The sequence below is a fragment of the Homo sapiens genome, chromosome X, assembly GCF_000001405.40.
Source record: "Homo sapiens chromosome X, GRCh38.p14 Primary Assembly".
Taxonomy (NCBI): domain Eukaryota; kingdom Metazoa; phylum Chordata; class Mammalia; order Primates; family Hominidae; genus Homo; species Homo sapiens.
Window position 1 is genome coordinate 17,772,596 of NC_000023.11, and position 19,678 is coordinate 17,792,273.

Here is a 19,678-nt window from a genome sequence, read left to right on the forward strand (position 1 = left end):
ATGACATGCCCCTGCCCATCTCTTCCTGTCTTTTTTTACATTCATACACACACACGATCTGCTCTGCCCATCTCTTAGTCTCTTTCTGACTTTCATACCACACATGATCTGCCTCTGCCCATGTCTTATTGTCTTCCTGACATTCATATTCACACAGGATGTGCCTCTGCCCATCTCTTACCTTCTTTCTGACATTCATATGCCCACATGATGTTTTGCCCATCTCTTCCTGTCTTCCTGACATCCATACCACACATGATCTGCCTCTGCCTATCTCTCTCTGGTTTTCTGACATTCATACCACACATGACCTGTATCTTGCCATCCCTTGCTGTCCTCCTGACACTCATACACACACATAATCTGCTTCTGCCCAGCTCTTATGGTCTTTCTGACATTCATAAATATACATGACCTGCCTTTGCAAATTCTTTACTGTCTTCCTGACATTCATAACTACGCATGATCTGTCTCTGTCCATTTATTACCATCTTTCTGACACTCATACCCACGCATGATCTGCTGTGCCCATCTCTTCCTGTCTTCCTGTCATTGATACCACACATTATCTGCCTCTATCTCTTACTTTCTTCCTGACATTCATACCCACACATGATCTGTCTCTGGCCATCTCTTACTGTTTTTGTGTCATTCATACCCACACGTGATCTGTCTCTGCCCATCTCTATTTTCATGACATTCAGACCACACGTGATATGCCACTGCCCATCTCTTACTGTCTTTGTGACATTCAGACCACACATAATCTGCATTTACCGGTCTCTTACTGTCTTCCTGACACATATACTCACATATGATCTTCTCTGCCCACCACTTCCTTCCTTCCTAACATTGACACCACACACGATCTGCCTCTGCCCATCTCTTACAGTCTTCCTGACATTCATACCCATGCATGATCTGTCTCTGCCCATCTATTACCATATTTTTGACATTCATACCCACACATGATCTGCTCTACCCATCTCTTCCTGTCTTCCTGACATTGATATCACACATGATCTGCCTCTACCCATCTCTTACTGTCTTCCTGACATATATACTCACATATGATCTGCTCTGCCCATCACTTCCTTTCTCACATTGATACCACACATGATCTGCCTCTACCCATCGCTTACTGCTTCCTGACTTGCATACCACACATGATCTGCCTCCACCCATTTCTTACTGTCTTCTTGACATATATACTCACATATGATCTGCTCTTCCCATCGCTTACTGTCTTTCTGACATTCACGCACACACGTCTGCCCCTGCCCTTCACTTACTGTCTTATTTTCCTTCATACCCACCCGTAATCTGCATCTGTCCATATCTTACTCTCTTCCTGATACTCATAACAACACATTATCTGCTCTGCCCACCTATTACTGCCTTCCTTACATGCATCCCCACACATGCTCTGCCTCTACACATCTATTACTGCTTTTCTGACATTCATAGCAACACATGCTTTGAGGCTGTTCTGCTCTTACTGCCTTCCTGATATTCATGCTCACACATGATCTGCATCTGTCCATCTTATACTGTCTTCTTGACATTCATATGCACACATGGTGTGCCTCTATCCATCTTTTGCTGTCTTCCTGCCATTCATACTTACACATGATCATCCTCTGCCCATCTCTTCCTGTCTTCTTGACATATATCCCCGCAGATGATTTGCCTTTACCCATCTTTTACTGTCTTCCTGACATTCATCCTTATACATGATATCCCTCTGTTCATTCTTTGCTGTCTGCCTGACATTCATACCCACACATGATCTGCCTCAGTTCATCTCTTACTGACTTCCTGACATTCATAGCCAGACATGTTTTGACTCTGTCCATTTCTTACTGTATTCTTGACATTCATACCCACACATGAGCTGCCTTCTCCCATCTCTTACTGCCCACCTGACATTCATACTCACTTGATCTGCCTCTTCCCATCTCTTTCTGTCTTCCTGACATTCATACTCACATATGATCTCCATCTCCTCATCTCTTACTGTGTTCCTAACATTTATGCCCACACATGATCTTTGTCTGTCCATGTCTTACTGTCTTCCTGAAATTCCTACCCACACATATTTTTACTGTCCATCTCTTACTGTCTTCCTGACATTCATACCACACATAATCTGTTTCTGCCTATCTCTTACTGTCTTCCTGACCTTCATACCCACACATGATTTGCTTCTTCCAATCCTATTGTCTTCCTGACATTCATACCCACACATGATCTGCCTCTGCCCATGTCTTACTGTCTTTCTGACATTCGTACCCACACATGATGTGGCTCTGACCATCTCTTCCTGTCTTCCTTTCATTGGTACTCACACAGGATCTGCCCCCCCACCCCCCTTCTCTTCTGTCTTTCTGTGCTCCATCCTCACACCTCTTCTGCTCCTGTCCGTGTCTTTCTGTTTTAGTAGGGTCCATATCTACCCGTGATGTGTTTCCTTCCCTTCTCTCGTTGTCTTACTTGATTCTGACCCTTACTGAATATTCGACCCATCCTTCTCCTCTCGGCCACTCTTGTGAAGCTGCCCTGGCCATTTCTCCAAGGCTTCCGCATGTCCAGCTTCCTCCTGAATTCAGGCCTCGCCTTGCAGTGGCTCTTCCTGGGTTTCTCTGTTCCCAGGTGTTGGGGCTTCTTCCTCTTTGAACAATTCATGTCTCAGTTCCAATGTGGCCTCTCAGAGAAGTCTTCTGTGACTGTCCTTCTTGGCACGTCCTCCCTTCCTTGTCATCCCCTTTCACACGCCTTCGGAAAGAATTTTGTTCATTTCTGTTTTCCCTCCCCTTGCTGACCAGAAGGTCAAGGTCAAGGCCTGGTGTGTGCGGCTGCCTGGTGTGTGCGGCTGCCCGCTCTGTCCCCGCCTCTCTCTGTCCCCGCCTCACGATTGTGCATGGCGCCCTGGAGGTGCTCAGTGAGGATGTGTTCAATGAAGAAGTGAATTCTAGGAGTCAAGACACAGCTCAGCAGGAGTGGCCATGCACGCTGAAATTCACGGGACCCCAAGGCAGAGGAAAGCTGGGAGGAGCCAGTGGATTTGGACTGCAGAAAGCCGGTGGTCGGCTGTGGCTAACTGCGCTTGCAGGACCCACGAGGCGGAAGGTGGTGGAAGGAGGGACTGGGGGGTGGGTTCAGGGAGGAAAAGAAACGTGAGAATTTGAGTGGCTGGAGAAGAAAACATGCGGCCGCAAGCGTGTGAGGCAAGCCTCGGGCCAGGGGCTTGGCTGTCCTTCGTGGTGGGCTGGTCCTGCTGTCGTGTTGCCATCGGGGGTGGGAGCTGGGGCTCCTGGCCTGTAGACAGGGCTTGGCTTCAGGCACCAGGAGCCGCTGTCTACACGTAAGAGAGGCGCGAAGAGCTCAGGTTGGAAGGGGGTTGTTTAGAGGACACCGTGCCCCGAGGCAGGTTGAGAGGCAGGAGGACTGCTCAGGTGGGATTCGCGGGTGATGGCCGGGGGCTCAGTGAGAGGGCTGGGGAGCTTGATCTCCTGGTGCAGCGGCGGGGCTGGAGAGGGCAGTGAAAATGGAGACCATCAGAGATAGCCCTTGGGCCACGGGGCCGGGGTCCAACAGCAGTTGGCGTCATTTTGCAGGGGGAGGAGTCGTGGAGCCTGGAGGGGAGGTGCAGAGGCTTCTCAAGCTGTCCACGGGGGGTGCCAGGGTCAGGGGGCCACAGAGAGCAGAGGCCCAGCACTGGAAGCCAGGGAGGCGGGAGTCCAGGACAGGGTGCCCCTTGGGTGAAGGCAACACACAGACTCCCGTACCAACACGTGCGCGGGTCACCAAACCCACACCAAGTCAGAAATTCCAGTGCACGCAGACGGTCTACCAGTTCCTGCTGGGGGCCTGCGGAGGGCCCATGGGCGCCGCCTGTTCTCAGGACTGGCTCCCGCTGGCTTGGCCCTGTCCACGGAGGCCCCTCCATGGCGCTTTCCATGCCTCTCCTTTCGGGGACCCTCCTCTGTCCAAGAGCCTCAGAGCCTTTCGGAAAAGGGTTGGAGAGGGAAAGACCTGCCCAAAGCACTCAGGGCTGGGCCCCCCTCCTCTACCACCTCTGCCTGTGTGGCTTTGTCACAGGGCTCAGGCAATCCGAGTCTGTTTTCTGCTTGGTCCAACGAGGATCACCCCTCCCCCAAGGGTTGTGACAGTTCAGAGAGATCAAGATGGGAAAGCATCTTGTCCCAAAGGGTGCCCACCCTGTCCCTGCTTGCCTTCTTGCCTTTCCCACACCCAGGCCCCACTGCTTCCTTTTCTACAGCCTGGCCACAGCTCACCCCACCACACGCAGTGAAACTGCAGCCCCAGGAAGCCTTACTATTAAGGAAGACTTTCAATTCCTTCTTCAAATTCTTTTGAGCTTGGGTGTTGGAGTCACTAGCTATGGGTTCTGGGTGTCTGTTTCTCTATCTATAAAGTGAGGCTGGGAGGATCTCATACATTGGTATGGACTATGTTCACATAGTGTCCTGGGTTAGAGTATCACTTTTTACTGACTGTGAAAACAGCTGAATTATTGGACTCTTTCTCCATTTTGCTCACTCCATTCCTGGGGAAATGGATGGGATTTTTTTCTGATCAGTAAATTTGGGAACAGTAGATTAGGCAATAATCTGTCCAGGTCCATCTTCTGCTTCTGGGGTTTCTGGGTGGGTGAGCCTGGCTAATACCGGAATCCTCTTGCAGACCTCTTGCACTCTCATGTTCAACTGCATCCTCTAGTGGGAGAAAGATGATATTTTAGCCTCCATCTTTACTCTTTTATTTCTCAACTTTTTAGGACCTGGGGGGCAAAGAAAAGAGGGATGATATTTATTGCAGCCCCCTTGGAAAGTAGGTGTCTAATCTCTCTCTCGCTCTTTCTCTCTCTCTCTCTCATACACACACACACACTCACACATAGAGTCAGTCATCAGATTCTGTTGCCTCCTTCTCCAAAACACAGCTGATTCTGTCCATCCCTTTTGTCTTCATCTCTTGCTGCATCATTTTACAGACATTAGCTACCCACATTTAGGGTCAATAATGGCTATCTTCTCCAGGTTGTTATGCGCCATGAATCTAAAATAACTTTTATGTAACCTGAATACATAATCATAATAGTGTCCCTCAGATCTCTAATATGACTCTTTCCTACCTGGCTAAACTCATTTCCTACTTATTCTGACCCACACACTTTGTGCCAGCCAACTTATCTTTATACTGTTTCGATTTTCTGAACACAGACCTTCCTCTCACCTCAAAACCATTTGAAATAGATAAAGCAGCTCTTTTCTCTTGTATACTAAAGATACCTCCAATGATCCCTGCTCCCTGGTTTCTGTACCCTTGTGCAATCCTCTCCCATTCAGTGTAACTTGGACTTACTGAATCCCCTTAAGGACAGACGTGATGAGATGTCAATTCTGCAATTAGATTTTAAATGCTATGGGCTCTGTCTTAGACATTTTTTCAAATAGCTTGCTCTAGAGGAAGTCAGCTGCCATGTCATGTGGCATCCCAAGAGTTGCACATGCAAGGTCCAAGGTTGGCCTGCAACTTTGCAGGTGAGCTTGGAAGTGGATTCCTACCCCATCACCCACTGAACTTTCAGATGAGATCTCAACCAGCTTGACTGATACCTCAGGAGAGATCCTGAGCCAGAACCACCTGTCTAAGTTGGGGTTGGGCTCCTGACCCATAGAAACTGGGAGATAATCAATGTTGTTCTGCAGCAATACATAACTAAAACAATGACTTCCTGCTTTTTCTGTCTTTTTTTTTTCAGGGTTTTGCTCTGTCACACAGGCTGTAGTACCACATGGGTGTCATCATTGAGAAGTATTTATTGAGTGATGATTACTGTTTTTTAATGTTGCATCTTCTTTTATTAATTTATGTCTCAACATATTTCATAAGTGAGCCTGGCTGCTTGTGAAATCAATAGCAATGCTTCCGTTAGAAAAAGTGCAGGTACACAAGAAATGACTGGTCAGAAATGTGATCTGCAGTGGCACGATCACAGCTCACTGCAGCCTCCTCCTCCCTGGGCTCAGGTGATCCTCCCCCCTCAGCCTCCCAAGTTGCTGAGACTACAAGTGTGTGCCACCATGCCTGGCTAATTTTTGTACTTTTTGTAGAGATAGGGTCTAGCCTGGGTTCCCCAGGCTGGTCTTGAACTCTTAGGCTCAAGTGACCCTCCTGCCTTGGCCTCCCAAAGTGCTGGGATTACGGGAAAGAGCCACTACACCTGGCCTCCTGCCTTGTTTCTAAAGACAAAAAATGTGTTGGATTACTAATCTCTTTTCCCCAAATCTCACTGCCAAGTTGTCCTCCCTTTGATTTCCTCTCTCCACTGGTAATAACCATAGAATCTGATGGAAAGCTGTCTGTTGCTTATAAGTGCACAGGAAATTCTTGATGGCTGGTTTTTGATTAAAGTCCTAATCTGTTAAATCTGAACTCTGGAAATCTTTGCAGAAAGTCCCAGTGAGATTTTGAAGGAGTGAATACACTTTCCTCAAAGTGAAAATATGCAAAGTTCCTTCTTGGTGTGTGAAACGTTTGATATGCGCAACCTGCTCTGGTAGTTATTTTTAGATCTTCTCTGTTGTGGAGTGCCTGGGTCTTGTTTTCACTTGTCTTTTGGTGTTTGTGTGTGACTGAATGAGGTCAATTCCAAGGAAGAATAAGGAGTTGCTGAATATGCTTTAGGGGGCAGTTATGGATATTTAGATTTATTTCTTTTCCCCCCTTTTGTTCTTAAAAAATTGGTTTTTGCTGTTTACTTTCTCTATACATGAGTGTACATCTTATTCCTGTATGTGAAGTTTAGCTATAATATATAGTCAGCATTAGTGTCACCATTGAGAAATATTGAGTGAAGAGTACTGTTTTCTAATGTTGCATCTTGCTTTATTAATTTATGTATCAACGTATTTCAGAAGACAGCATGGCTGCTTGTTAAATCAATAGCAGTGCTTCTGGTAGAAAAAGTGCAGGTACACAGGAAATGACTCTGGTGAGAAAGGAGTGCCCTGTTATACCCTTTCCTGAGCTACCTAGGGCAGTCAGTGACACATGAGCATCCCTCTATCAGGAGACTGTCGAGAGGCCCTGGCCAGAGTAAGGAACGGTGGCCATCAGCATTGAGTTCCACTCCAGATATTGTCAAATGTGTGTATTACCTGCTAAATGGATATACTTATGACGATAGTGCAAAGGATTTTCAGCCTTATTATTATGTCATCATAAGTGAACTGCCTGATTCAGATGTGGTTTGAATCAATATGCTCATATTGGTCAGGATAAATCATGCTATGCTGCAGTAACAAACAAAGCCTGAAATCCCAGTAGCTTTGCTTGTTCTCTCAGGCAAAGTCTAGTTCTCTGTAGGTGCTGCTTCTTTGTGTGGCTCTGTTCTATTTTTTTTTTCGGGGGGAGCGGGAGCTGTGCTATTTTAACACATGGCCTCTAGGACCATCACATCAAGGGAAGAGAAAAGGTGGAAGGTAGTTCAGGGTCTTTTTGTTGCTTCAGTCCAGAGGTGACATGTCGTGGCACTGCTACTCAGATCCCACTGGGAGAACTAGTCATATGACCTTGCTTAAGTACAAGAGAGCTGGGAAGAGTAGTTTTCCCAAAAAGAGGAAGAGGGAAATGAATGATTTGGTGATACAAATAGCATTGTTTCTACCACAAAGCTTTAAACGTTTTTCACACTAAAGTAATTGCAAACATGCTTTTGAGATGGGCCAGTTTGGTGTTTTGAGTGACACTTGTGGGGTGTAGTGCATAGGTGTGCAAAGGTGACTGGAGGGAGTGGTGTCTGGCTGGAGCCCACCTGTTGCTCCTAAGGAGGGTAGTAATCCTTCCAGTTCTTGTGTGCAAGGTTTTATGCCTTATGTTACAGATTTTCCAATGTTTAAAAGGAAAATGGAAATGCAGATCTTCATGTAAAATCCCCCAATCTTAAAATGTAGTCTTAAATATAGGGAAAAAAAAGCCAAACAAAATGTGCTTACAGGACTAATTTGTCCTATGTGCTGCCAACGTAAGATTGTAGCTCTTTGTCCTAGGAACTTGGGATCTTGAATGGCCCTCTATTTATCTGTGGGGTAGAGCAAACCTTGAATTCCTCAGAAGTATCTTGGCTCTGCCTGTGAGCATTCTCTCAGTTCAGGTTCAAGTTGTTCATCCTCACATTATTCCATACTCAACTGACTGCTGGAGCACTTGGGGCCATACTTAAAGTTCAACACATATTCCCTGCATTCCAGGTCATTGCCAGGCTATGCAATCTAGAAACGTTTGGTAAACCACAGATATTGGACATGATTGGAACACAGAATGGATATTGGGGAATTGTTATGAACTTGGAGAGCTAAGCACGGCCTGGAGCAGGAAGGAACTTGGGTAGGTTTTGAAGGGGATCCTAAGAGCCATAAGGATAAATTGAAGGTGGTGATCAATGTGGGGAGGCAACATGATCAGATCCGCATTCTAGACAGGTCATTCTGGGAGCTCTTGGGGTGGAGATGGGAGCTTTCAGCCAACAGGAGCTGACCATCTGTTCTGTGCCCTACCTGAGATGCACATCCCATCCACGTATGTTCCTTGGGGTCCACTCAAGGGATTTCTTCCTGCCTTTTTCTGGGCTGTGCTCAGAAGAGCAAGTGTCCTTCTGAGAGTAGCCCAAGTTGTTGGGTTAATGACCTCGAGTGAAGCATGACTCTCTCTTTAAAATGGTAGAGGAAAGTACTTTCTTTTTTTTTTTAATTATTTATTATTATTATTATACTTTAAGTTTTAGGGTACATGTGCACAATGTGCAGGTTAGTTACATATGTATACATGTGACGTGCTGGTGCGCTGCACCCACTAACTCGTCATCTAGCATTAGGTATATCTCCCAATGCTATCACTCCCCCTTCCCCCCACCCCACAACAGTCCCCAGAGTGTGATGTTCCCCTTCCTGTGTCCATGTGTTCTCATTGTTCAGTTCCCACCTATGAGTGAGAATATGTGGTGTTTGGTTTTTTGTTCTTGCGATAGTTTACTGAGAATGATGATTTCCAATTTCATCCATGTCCCTACAAAGGACATGAACTCATCATTTTTTATGGCTGCATAGTATTCCATGGTGTATATATGCCACATTTTCTTAATCCAGTCTATCATTGTTGGACATTTGGGTTGGTTCCAAGTCTTTGCTATTGTGAATAATGCCGCAGTAAACATATGTGTGCATGTGTCTTTATAGCAGCATGATTTATAGTCCTTTGGGTATATACCCAGTAATGGGATGGCTGGGTCAACTGGTATTTCTAGTTCTAGATCCCTGAGGAATCACCACACTGACTTCCACAATGATTGAACTAGTTTACAGTCCCACCAACAGTGTAAAAGTGTTCCTATTTCTCCACATCCTCTCCAGCACCTGTTGTTTCCTGACTTTTTAATGATTGCCATTCTAACTGGTGTGAGATGGCATCTCATTGTGGTTTTGATTTGCATTTCTCTGATGGCCAGTGATGGTGAGCATTTTTTCATGTGTTTTTTGGCTGCATAAATGTCTTCTTTTGAGAAGTGTCTGTTCATGTCCTTTGCCCACTTTTTGATGGGGTTGTTTGTTTTTTTCTTGTAAATTTGTTGGAGTTCATTGTAGATTCTGGATATTAGCCCTTTGTCAGATGAGTAGGTTGCAAACATTTTCTCCCATTTTGTAGGTGGCCTGTTCACTCTGATGGTAGTTTCTTTTGCTATGCAGAAGCTCTTTAGTTTAATTAGATCCCATTTGTCAATTTTGGCTTTTGTTGCCATTGCTTTTGGTGTTTTAGACATGAAGTCCTTCCCCTTGCCTATGTCCTGAATGGTAATGCCTAGGTTTTCTTCTAGGGTTTTTATGGTTTTAGGTCTAACGTTTAAGTCTTTAATCCATATTGAATTGATTTTTGTATAAGGTGTAAGGAAGGGATCCAGTTTCAGCTTTCTACCTATGGCTAGCCAGTTTTCCCAGCACCATTTATTAAATAGGGAATCCTTTCCCCATTGCTTGTTTTTCTCAGGTTTGTCAAAGACCAGATAGTTGTAGATATGCGGCGTTATTTCTGAGGGCTCTGTTCTGTTCCATTGATCTATATCTCTGTTTTGGTACCAGTACCATGCTGTTTTGGTTACTGTAGCCTTGTAGTATAGTTTGAAGTCAGGTAGCGTGATGCCTCCAGCTTTGTTCTTTTGGCTTAGGATTGACTTGGCGATGCGGGCTCTTTTTTGGTTCCATATGAACTTTAAAGTAGTTTTTTTCCAATTCTGTGAAGAAAGTCATTGGTAGCTTGATGGGGATGGCATTGAATCTATAAATTACCTTGGGCCGTATGGCCATTTTCACGATATTGATTCTTCCTACCCATGAGCATGGAATGTTCTTCCATTTGTTTGTATCCTCTTTTATTTCATTGAGCAGTGGTTTATAGTTCTCCTTGAAGAGGTCCTTCACATCCCTTGTAAGTTGGATTCCTAGGTATTTTATTCTCTTTGAAGCAATTGTGAATGGGAGTTCACTCATGATTTGGCTCTCTGTTATTGGTGTATAAGAATGCTTGTGATTTTTGTACATTGATTTTGTATCCTGAGACTTTGCTGAAGTTGCTTATCAGCTTAAGGAGATTTTGGGCTGAGACAATGGGGTTTTCTAGATATACAATCATGTCATCTGCAAACAGAGACAATTTGACTTCCTCTTTTCCTAATTGAATACCCTTTATTTCCTTCTCCTGCCTAATTGCCCTGGCCAGAACTTCCAACACTATGTTGAATAGGAGTGGTGAGAGAGGGCATCCCTGTCTTGTGCCCATTTTCAAAGGGAATGCTTCCAGTTTTTGCCCATTCAGTATGATATTGGCTATGGGTTTGTCATAGATAGCTCTTATTATTTTGAGATATGCCCCATCAATACCTAATTTATTGAGAGTTTTTAGCATGAAGCATTGTTGAATTTTGTCAAAGGCCTTTTCTGCATCTATTGAGATAATCATGTGGTTTTTGTCTTTGGTTCTGTTTATATGCTGGATTACATTTATTGATTTGCGTATATTGAACCAGCCTTGCATCCCAGGGATGAAGCCCACTTGATCATGGTGGATAAGCTTTTTTATGTGCTGCTGGATTTGGTTTGCCAGTATTTTATTGAGGATTTTTGCATCAATGTTCATTAAGGATATTGGTCTAAAATTCTCTTTTTTGGTTGTGTCTCTGCCCGGCTTTGGTATCAGAATGATGCTGGCCTCATAAAATGAGTTAGGGAGGATTCCCTCTTTTTCTATTGATTCGAATAGTTTCAGAAGGAATGGTACCAATTCCTCCTTGTACCTCTGGTAGAATTCGGCTGTGAATCCATCTGGTCCTGGACTCTTTTTGGTTGGTAAGCTATTGATTATTGCCACAATTTCGGATCCTGTTATTGGTCTATTCAGAGATTCAACTTCTTCCTGGTTTAGTCTTGGGAGAGTGTATGTGTCGAGGAATTTATCCATTTCTTCTAGATTTTCTAGTTTATTTGCGTAGAGGTGTTTGTGGTATTCTCTGATGGTAGTTTGTATTTCTGTGGGATCGGTGGTGATATCCCCTTTATCATTTTTTATTGCGTCTATTTGATTCTTCTCTCTTTTTTTCTTTATTAGTCTTGCTAGCGGTCTATCAATTTTGTTGATCCTTTCAAAAAACCAGCTCCTGGATTCATTAATTTTTTGAAGGGTTTTTTGTGTCTCTATTTCCTTCAGTTCTGCTCTGATTTTAGTTATTTCTTGCCTTCTGCTAGCTTTTGAATGTGTTTGCTCTTGCTTTTCTAGTTCTTTTAATTGTGATGTTAGGATGTCATTTTGGATGTTTCCTGCTTTCTCTTGTGGGCATTTAGTGCTATAAATTTCCCTCTACACACTGCTTTAAATGTGTCCCAGAGATTCTGGTATGTTGTGTCTTTGTTCTCATTGGTTTCAAAGAACATCTTTATTTCTGCCTTCATTTTGTTATGTACCCAGTAGTCATTCAGGAGCAGGTTGTTCAGTTTCCACGTAGTTGAGTGGTTTTGAGTGAGATTCTTAATCCTGAGTACTAGTTTGATTGCACTGTGGTCTGAGAGATAGTTTGTTATAATTTCTGTTCTTTTACATTTGCTGAGGAGTGCTTTACTTCCAACTCTGTGGTCAATTTTGGAATAGGTGTGGTGTGGTGCTGAAAAAAAAATGTAAATTCTGTTGATTTGGGGTGGAGAGTTCTGTAGATGTCTATTAGGTCTGCTTGGTGCAGAGCTGAGTTTAATTCCTGGGTATCCTTGTTGACTTTCTGTCTCATTGATCTGTCTAATGTTGACAGTGGGGTGTTAAAGTCTCCCAATATTAATGTGTGGGTGTCTAAGTCTCTTTGTAGGTCACTCAGGACTTGCTTTATGAATCTGGGTGCTCCTGTATTGGGTGCATATATATTTAGGATAGTTAGCTCTTCTTGTTGAATTGATCCCTTTACCATTATGTAATGGCCTTCTTTGTCTCTTTTGATCTTTGTTGGTTTAAAGTCTGTTTTATCAGAGACTAGGATTGCAACCCCTGCCTTTTTTTGTTTTCCATTTGCTTGGTAGATCTTCCTCCATCCTTTTATTTTGAGCCTATATGTGTCTCTGCACGTGAGGTGGGTTTCCTGAATACAGCACACTGATGGGTCTTGACTCTATCCAATTTGCCAGTCTGTGTCTTTTAATTGGAGCATTTAGTCCATTTACATTTAAAGTTAATATTGTTATGTGTGAATTTGATCCTGTCATTATGATGTTAGCTGGTTATTTTGCTCGTTAGTTGATGCAGTTTCTTCCTAGTCTCAATGGTCTTTACATTTTGGCATGATTTTGCAGTGGCTGGTACCGGTTGTTCCTTTCCATGTTTAGCGCTTCCTTCAGGAGCTCTTTTAGGGCAGGCCTGGTGGTGACAAAATCTCTCAGCATTTGCTTGTCTGTAAAGTATTTTATTTCTCCTTCACTTATGAAGCTTAGTTTGGCTGGATGTGAAATTCTGGGTTGAAAATTCTTTTCTTTAAGAATGTTGAATATTGGCCCCCACTCTCTTCTGGCTTGTAGAGTTTCTGCTGAGAGATCCGCTGTTAGTCTGACGGGTTTCCCTTTGAGGGTAACCCAACCTTTCTATCTGGCTGCCCTTAACATTTTTTCCTTCATTTCCACTTTGGTGAATCTGACAATTATGTGTCTTGGAGTTGCTCTTCTCGAGGAGTATCTTTGTGGCGTTCTCTGTATTTCCTGAATCTGAACGTTGGCCTGCCTTGCTAGATTGGGGAAGTTCTCCTGGATAATATCCTGCAGAGTGTTTTCCAACTTGGTTCCATTCTCTCTGTCACTTTCAGGTACACCAATCAGACGTAGATTTGGTCTTTTCACATAGTCCCATATTTCTTGGAGGCTTTGTTCGTTTCTTTTTATTCTTTTTTCTCTAAACTTCCTTTCTCGCTTCATTTCATTCATTTCATCTTCCATTGCTGATACCCTTTCTTCCAGTTGATTGCATCGGCTCCTGAGGCTTCTGCATTCTTCACGTAGTTCTCTAGCCTTGGCTTTCAGCTCCATCAGGTCCTTTAAGCACTTCTCTCTATTGGTTATTCTAGCTATACATTCTTCTAAATTTTTTTCAAAGTTTTCAACTTCTTTGCCTTTGGTTTGAATTTCTTCCTGTAGCTCGGAGTAGTTTGATCGTCTGAAGTCTTCTCTCAGCTCGTCAAAGTCATTCTCCATCCAGCTTTGTTCCGTTGCTGGTGAGGAACTGCGTTCCTTTGGAGGAGGAGAGGCTCTCTGCTTTTTAGAGTTTCCAGTTTTTCTGCTCTGTTTTTTCCCCATCTTTGTGGTTTTATCTACTTTTGGTCTTTGATGATGGTGATGTACAGATAGGTTTTTGGTGTGGATGTCCTTTCTGTTTGTTAGTTTTCCTTCTAACAGACAGGACCCTCAGCTGCAGGTCTGTTGGAGTAACCTGCCGTGTGAGGTGTCAGTGTGCCCCTGCTGGGGGGTGCCTCCCAGTTAGGCTGCTCGGGGGTCAGGGACCCACTTGAGGAGGCAGTCTGCCCGTTCTCAGATCTCCAGCTGCGTGCTGGGAGAACCACTGCTCTCTTCAAACTGTCAGACAGGGACACTTAAGTCTGCAGAGGTTACTGCTGTCTTTTTGTTTGTCTGTGCCCTGCCCCCAGAGGTGGAGCCTACAGAGGCAGGCAGGCCTCCTTGAGCTGTGGTGGGCTCCACCCAGTTGGAGCTTCCCGGCTGCTTTGTTTACCTAAGCAAGCCTGGGCAATGGCGGGCGCCCCTCCCCCAGCCTCGCTGCCGCCTTGCAGTTTGATCTCAGACTGCTGTGCTAGCAATCAGCGAGACTCCGTGGGCGTAGGACCCTCCGAGCCAGGTGTGGGATATAGTCTCGTGGTGGGCCGTTTTTTAAGGCCGTCGGAAAAGCGCAGTATTCAGGTGGGAGTGACCCGATTTTCCAGGTGCCGTCTGTTACTCCTTTCTTTGACTAGGAAAGGGAACTCCCTGACCCCTTGCGCTTCCCGAGTGAGGCAATGCCTCGCCCTGCTTTGGCTCGCGCACAGTGCGCGTGCACCCACTGACCTGTGTCCACTGTCTGGCACTCCCTAGTGAGATGAACCCGGTACCTCAGATGGAAATGCAGAAATCACCCGTCTTCTGCATCGCTCACGCTGGGAGCTGTAGACTGGAGCTGTTCCTATTCGGCCATCTTGGCTCCTCCCAGAGGAAAGTACTTTCAAGCTTGCCTGAGGTCTGAGAAGCTGAGCTTTCTGCAGTGGTCTCAGTGGAACCTTTGACCAGAGCATTCGAAGGGTGCCTTTCCTGTTTCCTTTCTCGGCATTGAAACATCAAGATACGGAATCCAGAAGGGTCACCAGAACCTGGCCCTCTGCAATCTGGACTCGAGGCTGCAGACTTGCTGTTGAACTGGGCTGGGCAGGAGGGCAGAGTGGGCACCAGGGCCCACCTTCCTGGGGCCCTGAAAGGGTGGGATGGTGTGTACTGGTCCCCTCACCCAAATGCAGGTGTGGGAGGAGGACATCCATCATGATGCTACATGGCATTTGCTTCACCACCAGGAGAGAGGTGAGTGAGAGCTGGGCCCGGAGTCGTGCGCCTCGCAGAGATCAGAGTGGGCCGACGGTGTCGGAGGAGACTACAGCCCAGGTCGTGCCTCACTAGGAGGCTTCCTCCAGGTGGAGGTGCTGCTGCCTTCTACCACTCCTGGGGCACACTTGAGGCCCCACTTCCCGGACCTCCTCCCGGGGTCTCAGTGCTAGACTCAGCCTGGGAGACAGGCTGAAGTTCTCAGGCAAATTTTACTCTACCAAGGCCACCCTTTTGTAGGTAACCACCAGGAGCATGGACATCTCTGGGCTCAGGCTGGGCATCAGGCGTCCTGACAGTTCCTTTGGTGATCCTGGGGTGCAGCCGGGGTAGGGAACCCAGTGTCTGGCAGAGTGACCAATACTGGCTGTGTCGTGGGAGCGCCCCTGGCCCACCCTCCCTGCTTGCTCAAGGGTAGTGGCTGCCAGGCTAGGCCTGTGCTCCCACCACCGCTTCCGTCCCCCAGCTCCCCTGAGTCGCATTCCAAGATCCCCAACATTCCCCTGCTCTGTTCCTATCGTCCCCAGAAATGTCGAGGTCACTGCTTCAGCTCTGCACCCTGCAGTGTGCTGTGTCCCCAGCTTTCATTTTAGCTTGTCCCCAAGGCTACCAAGTCCCAGGCCAGCGATCTTCTCTCTCCCTGGCTTTGCTGGGACACGGTTTCCCATTAATGAAGGGTGAGGTGGTTCTTTTCTGAAAATCTGGACCCTTCAGGATTTTCAGTCTGGGCCCTCCCCAGGGGTGTCTCAAGAGGCTCACAGAGGAGGGGTGTATGCTAGGTAGGTGCCCGTGCCAGGACCACTCTGGAAGATTCCTGAGGTTGTTGCTGTGATCTGCCAGCAGAGGGCGCTGTATCCCAGCGCAGATGAAGTGGGTAAGAGGGTGGTTTCTTCCCAGTAGGTGGGTGGAGAAGCAGGGCTGTTCTGACTTTTTGAATTCCTTTGCTGCAAAAAAAATCCTCTTCCCGTGGTGGAGAGGTCAGCAGCTCATAAATGGCATGAGCAAGAGATTCCTTTTCTATGCTCACCTCACAAACCCTTTTCTGTAGTTATTTCAAATACACTTGCCCCCAATTTATATAGCAGATGTGTTCTTCGGAAGTTGCCCACATGCTAGATCGTGTCTCAAGTGCACTCAAGAAACCTCCCTCATTCAAAACAGAAACTGATGTTATCTCTTGTAAAGCAAACTTTAGATTTCTAATTCAAATAACAATTCATCCACTCTAAGGCATCACATTCTTGTAAGAAGAGTTTGATAAAGGGGGTTCAGCTGTATAATTTACTTTTGAGGAAGCCTCAACCCCCCTGCTCACCAGGTTGCAGACTTCTAAGGCTGCATAGCCTCTTGGTGTCACTACAGAGCTGCCCCCAGGGCATGGCTTTCCATGGGCCCTGTGATTGGACGGTGGCCTCTGGATAAGGGACTGTCCCTGGGTGGGGACACCTGAAAGTCCCATCCTCATCTAGCGTCTATTTGCTGCAAGCAAGGAAGGGAACCCTGGCCCGTGTGCACCTCCTACTCATGGGCCCTGGGCGCTTGCGTTAGCTCATCAATCCCCATGAGAAAGGCAGCTGAGTTGTGCGGTTTTACTGATGAGGAATCCAAAGCAGGGTGAGGTCTAAGAACACATGCCACTTTGATTCCAGGCCCAATTTTGCCTTCAGGCTTCTTTCTCCCAGCCTGTGTCACTTTTTCTCCTATTCTAACGAGTTCATTTTCTTGCTGATAGCCAAGCGATCAACCCTTTTCTCAGGCCAATGGGAAGGAAATCAAAATGACATTTACATTAGTTCAAATATTGGTCAGTAGTCTGGAAGCAGGCATGAAAGTGCCTGGCTGGAAACCCACTTTCATGGAACAAAGTGAAATCTAAAACTCTGCTTACTGGAATTAAAGTCTTTTTAAAATCTAGAATTGTGGTGACCTTGCTCCCTATTATTATCTGTAAACAAGATATAATACAAATACATTTATTTATCATTATTTATATCATTTATATCCCTTGCTCATGCTTACTGTGTGCTCATTTATTGAGTACCCTGTCCTTGGTACCCCAGTGCACAAACCCAGATACTTGAAGATATTTTATTATTTCCATTTCACAGTTGAGAAAATGGAAGCAGAGAAGTTAAGTGACCTGCCCAAAGTCATACAGCTAGAAAGGAGCAAAGCTGGGAATTCAATCCAGACTTTGTGGCTCTAACACTGGCACTCTTAACTTTTACTCAGGGTCTCCAGCCATCCCCCTGCTTAGGTGTAGTGACAGGCACTCATTCTACTTCTGATGCAGAAACCTCTTGTGCTTGGTTATTTCTCATATTTCAAGAAAGAAGAATGCATGGATCTCTAAGAGAATTTAAAGGTTGTGTTCAGCCAGTTGAAAGATGTATAATAGTCTCATTTCATTATGACCCGGTGGGATACATAAGATAATGAATTGGGGCGTAGAAAGAAAATATTGAACCTATTTATGTTTGTTTCATTTTTGTCCAACATTTCTATTTTTGCACTTATTTTATAATGTACATATTTGTTTGGTAGTCCATGCATGTCATTTATAAAGAAATCCACAAACTCTGGGGAGGTGAATGCTCAAGCATTTTCTTTGTATGCCAGTGATGAGATGTTGACTATTGCTTGCTTTATGTTTTATGTATATTTTTATAAGAGTGTAGAAACCACTTTTGAAGAATCCATCTTGTTTTGAAAACATAGTAAGCCATACGGTTTAAAGGAATCAAGTAGTTCATCTTCTTTTGCAAAGTCAATTATAGATTCCAGATATTTGTTTCGTATGTTTGGGTTTCCATATATTGTACTGGTTTGGCTAAGAAGGGCACACTTGCACTTTCCACATAGGTTCAGTGCAGTCCACACACATTTATTGAGGGTCCCCTACATGTCAAGCACTGTGTTAGGTGTATGAGATACAATGACAATGACCTTGGCCCTAGAGGAGTGTGTGACACAGTGGGATAGACAGAGTCATACTTTCAATTGAATGAGATGGATGAGTTGATATACAGATGTGTGCATATGTTGCTATGGGAGGGCAAGAGGGGCTCTTAGCTTATGCCAGAGCAGTCATGGAAAGCTTTCTGGAGGAGGTGTTGTTTTGAGCTGAATCCTGAAGGATTAGTCAGAGTAAGAAGATGGCGAAGGTCAAGTGCAGTGGTTGGTGCCTATAATCCCAGCTCTTTGGGAGCGTGAGGTGGGAGGATCACTTGGGGCCAGAAGTTCGAGACCAGTCTGGGCAACAAAGAGAGACCCCGTCTCCAAACAAAAAACAAACAAAAAAAACCCAAGAAGGTGGGGAAGGAGTGTCAAGAGGAGGGCACTCAGGGGTGGAACCTCACAGGCAGGGCTGGGAACTGCTAACCTTCCTGTATCCCTGGAGCTTACACATAGGGTGAAGCAGGGAGTTCTAGCCACAGTGCTGGGCTGGCCGTGACCTCAGGAGGCCTGCTGACATGTGAGGCCACAGGGTGCGGGGAGGTATCCAACACCACAGGCTTTTATGCAGCAGAACGACATGGTGAAGCTTGCCTATTACCAAAACAATCCCGGTGGCAGTATAGAGGAGAGAATCAGGCAAGCTAAAGATGGGTGCATGGTGCCCATCCCGTTCTGACACCACTGTAAGAATCTAGGCAGAGGATGATGTGGGCAGGCTCAAGAACAGTAGTATGGAGGAAAGGAATGATGGATTTGAGGAAGACTGGGGAGTCAAAGTCAGGAAGACAGGTATCTGGGAGGTGAAAGTGAGGGAGAAGTCATGAAGAACAGCTCCACATTTCTTGCTTGGAGAACCAGGAAGCAGGCAGCAGCAGATGCAGAGGGTGTACATTGGATCTGAGGAGGGGTTGAGGATGGGCGATGCTGTCTAGTTCTAGGATGATGAATATGAGACACCAGCCTATTAATATGGCGGGTTGGTGAGGGGGAGAGAAAGAGAAAGAGGCAGAGAGAAAGAGAGAGAGGAAGGGAGGGAGAGAAGGAAAGAAGGAGAGAGAGAGGGGGAAAGAGAAGTCAGAGCTGAAGATAGAGATAAATAAACAAAATAAAAATGTTGGAGACAACTATGAGAATGTCATCCTAGGAAAGCACAGGGAATGAGAACTTAGGCCTGAAAGAGAGGGAAGAAGTGGAGCATCAGCATCGTTATCTGCAGAGGTCAAAATGAAGAGACAATCAGAGAGACCAGAGCATGGGGAGAGAGGTTTGCCAGGAAAGCTAAGGAGGAGGAGGGGGATGAAAGTGCCTCATACCTCCATGCCTTCACACCTGTACCTCCCAGAGGTCAGGGAGATGAGGCCTGGGAAACAACCAGGGCTCCCTGGGGAGTTCTTGCCATTTATAAAATTAAGCAGAAGCAGCACTTTGGGGAGTTTTTTAAAAAAGAAAAGAGAAAAAGGGAAGAAAGAGGGAAGAAAGGAGGGTAGGAGGGAGAGAGGAAGAAAGGGAAACCAGTAAAACATAAATTAAAATTTTAATTA

The 19,678-nt window shown here is 45.5% G+C and overlaps 2 annotated features.

Moving 5' to 3' along the window:
• Positions 13,955–14,725: an enhancer, noted in NCBI's record as "NANOG-H3K27ac-H3K4me1 hESC enhancer chrX:17804670-17805440 (GRCh37/hg19 assembly coordinates)". NCBI's record gives its function as "activates a minimal SCP1, AML or CMV promoter by ChIP-STARR-seq in primed H9 embryonic stem cells {active_cell/tissue: H9 hESC(primed)}" and the evidence as "EXISTENCE:reporter gene assay evidence [ECO:0000049][PMID:30033119]".
• Positions 14,726–15,496: an enhancer, noted in NCBI's record as "H3K27ac-H3K4me1 hESC enhancer chrX:17805441-17806211 (GRCh37/hg19 assembly coordinates)". NCBI's record gives its function as "activates a minimal SCP1, AML or CMV promoter by ChIP-STARR-seq in primed H9 embryonic stem cells {active_cell/tissue: H9 hESC(primed)}" and the evidence as "EXISTENCE:reporter gene assay evidence [ECO:0000049][PMID:30033119]".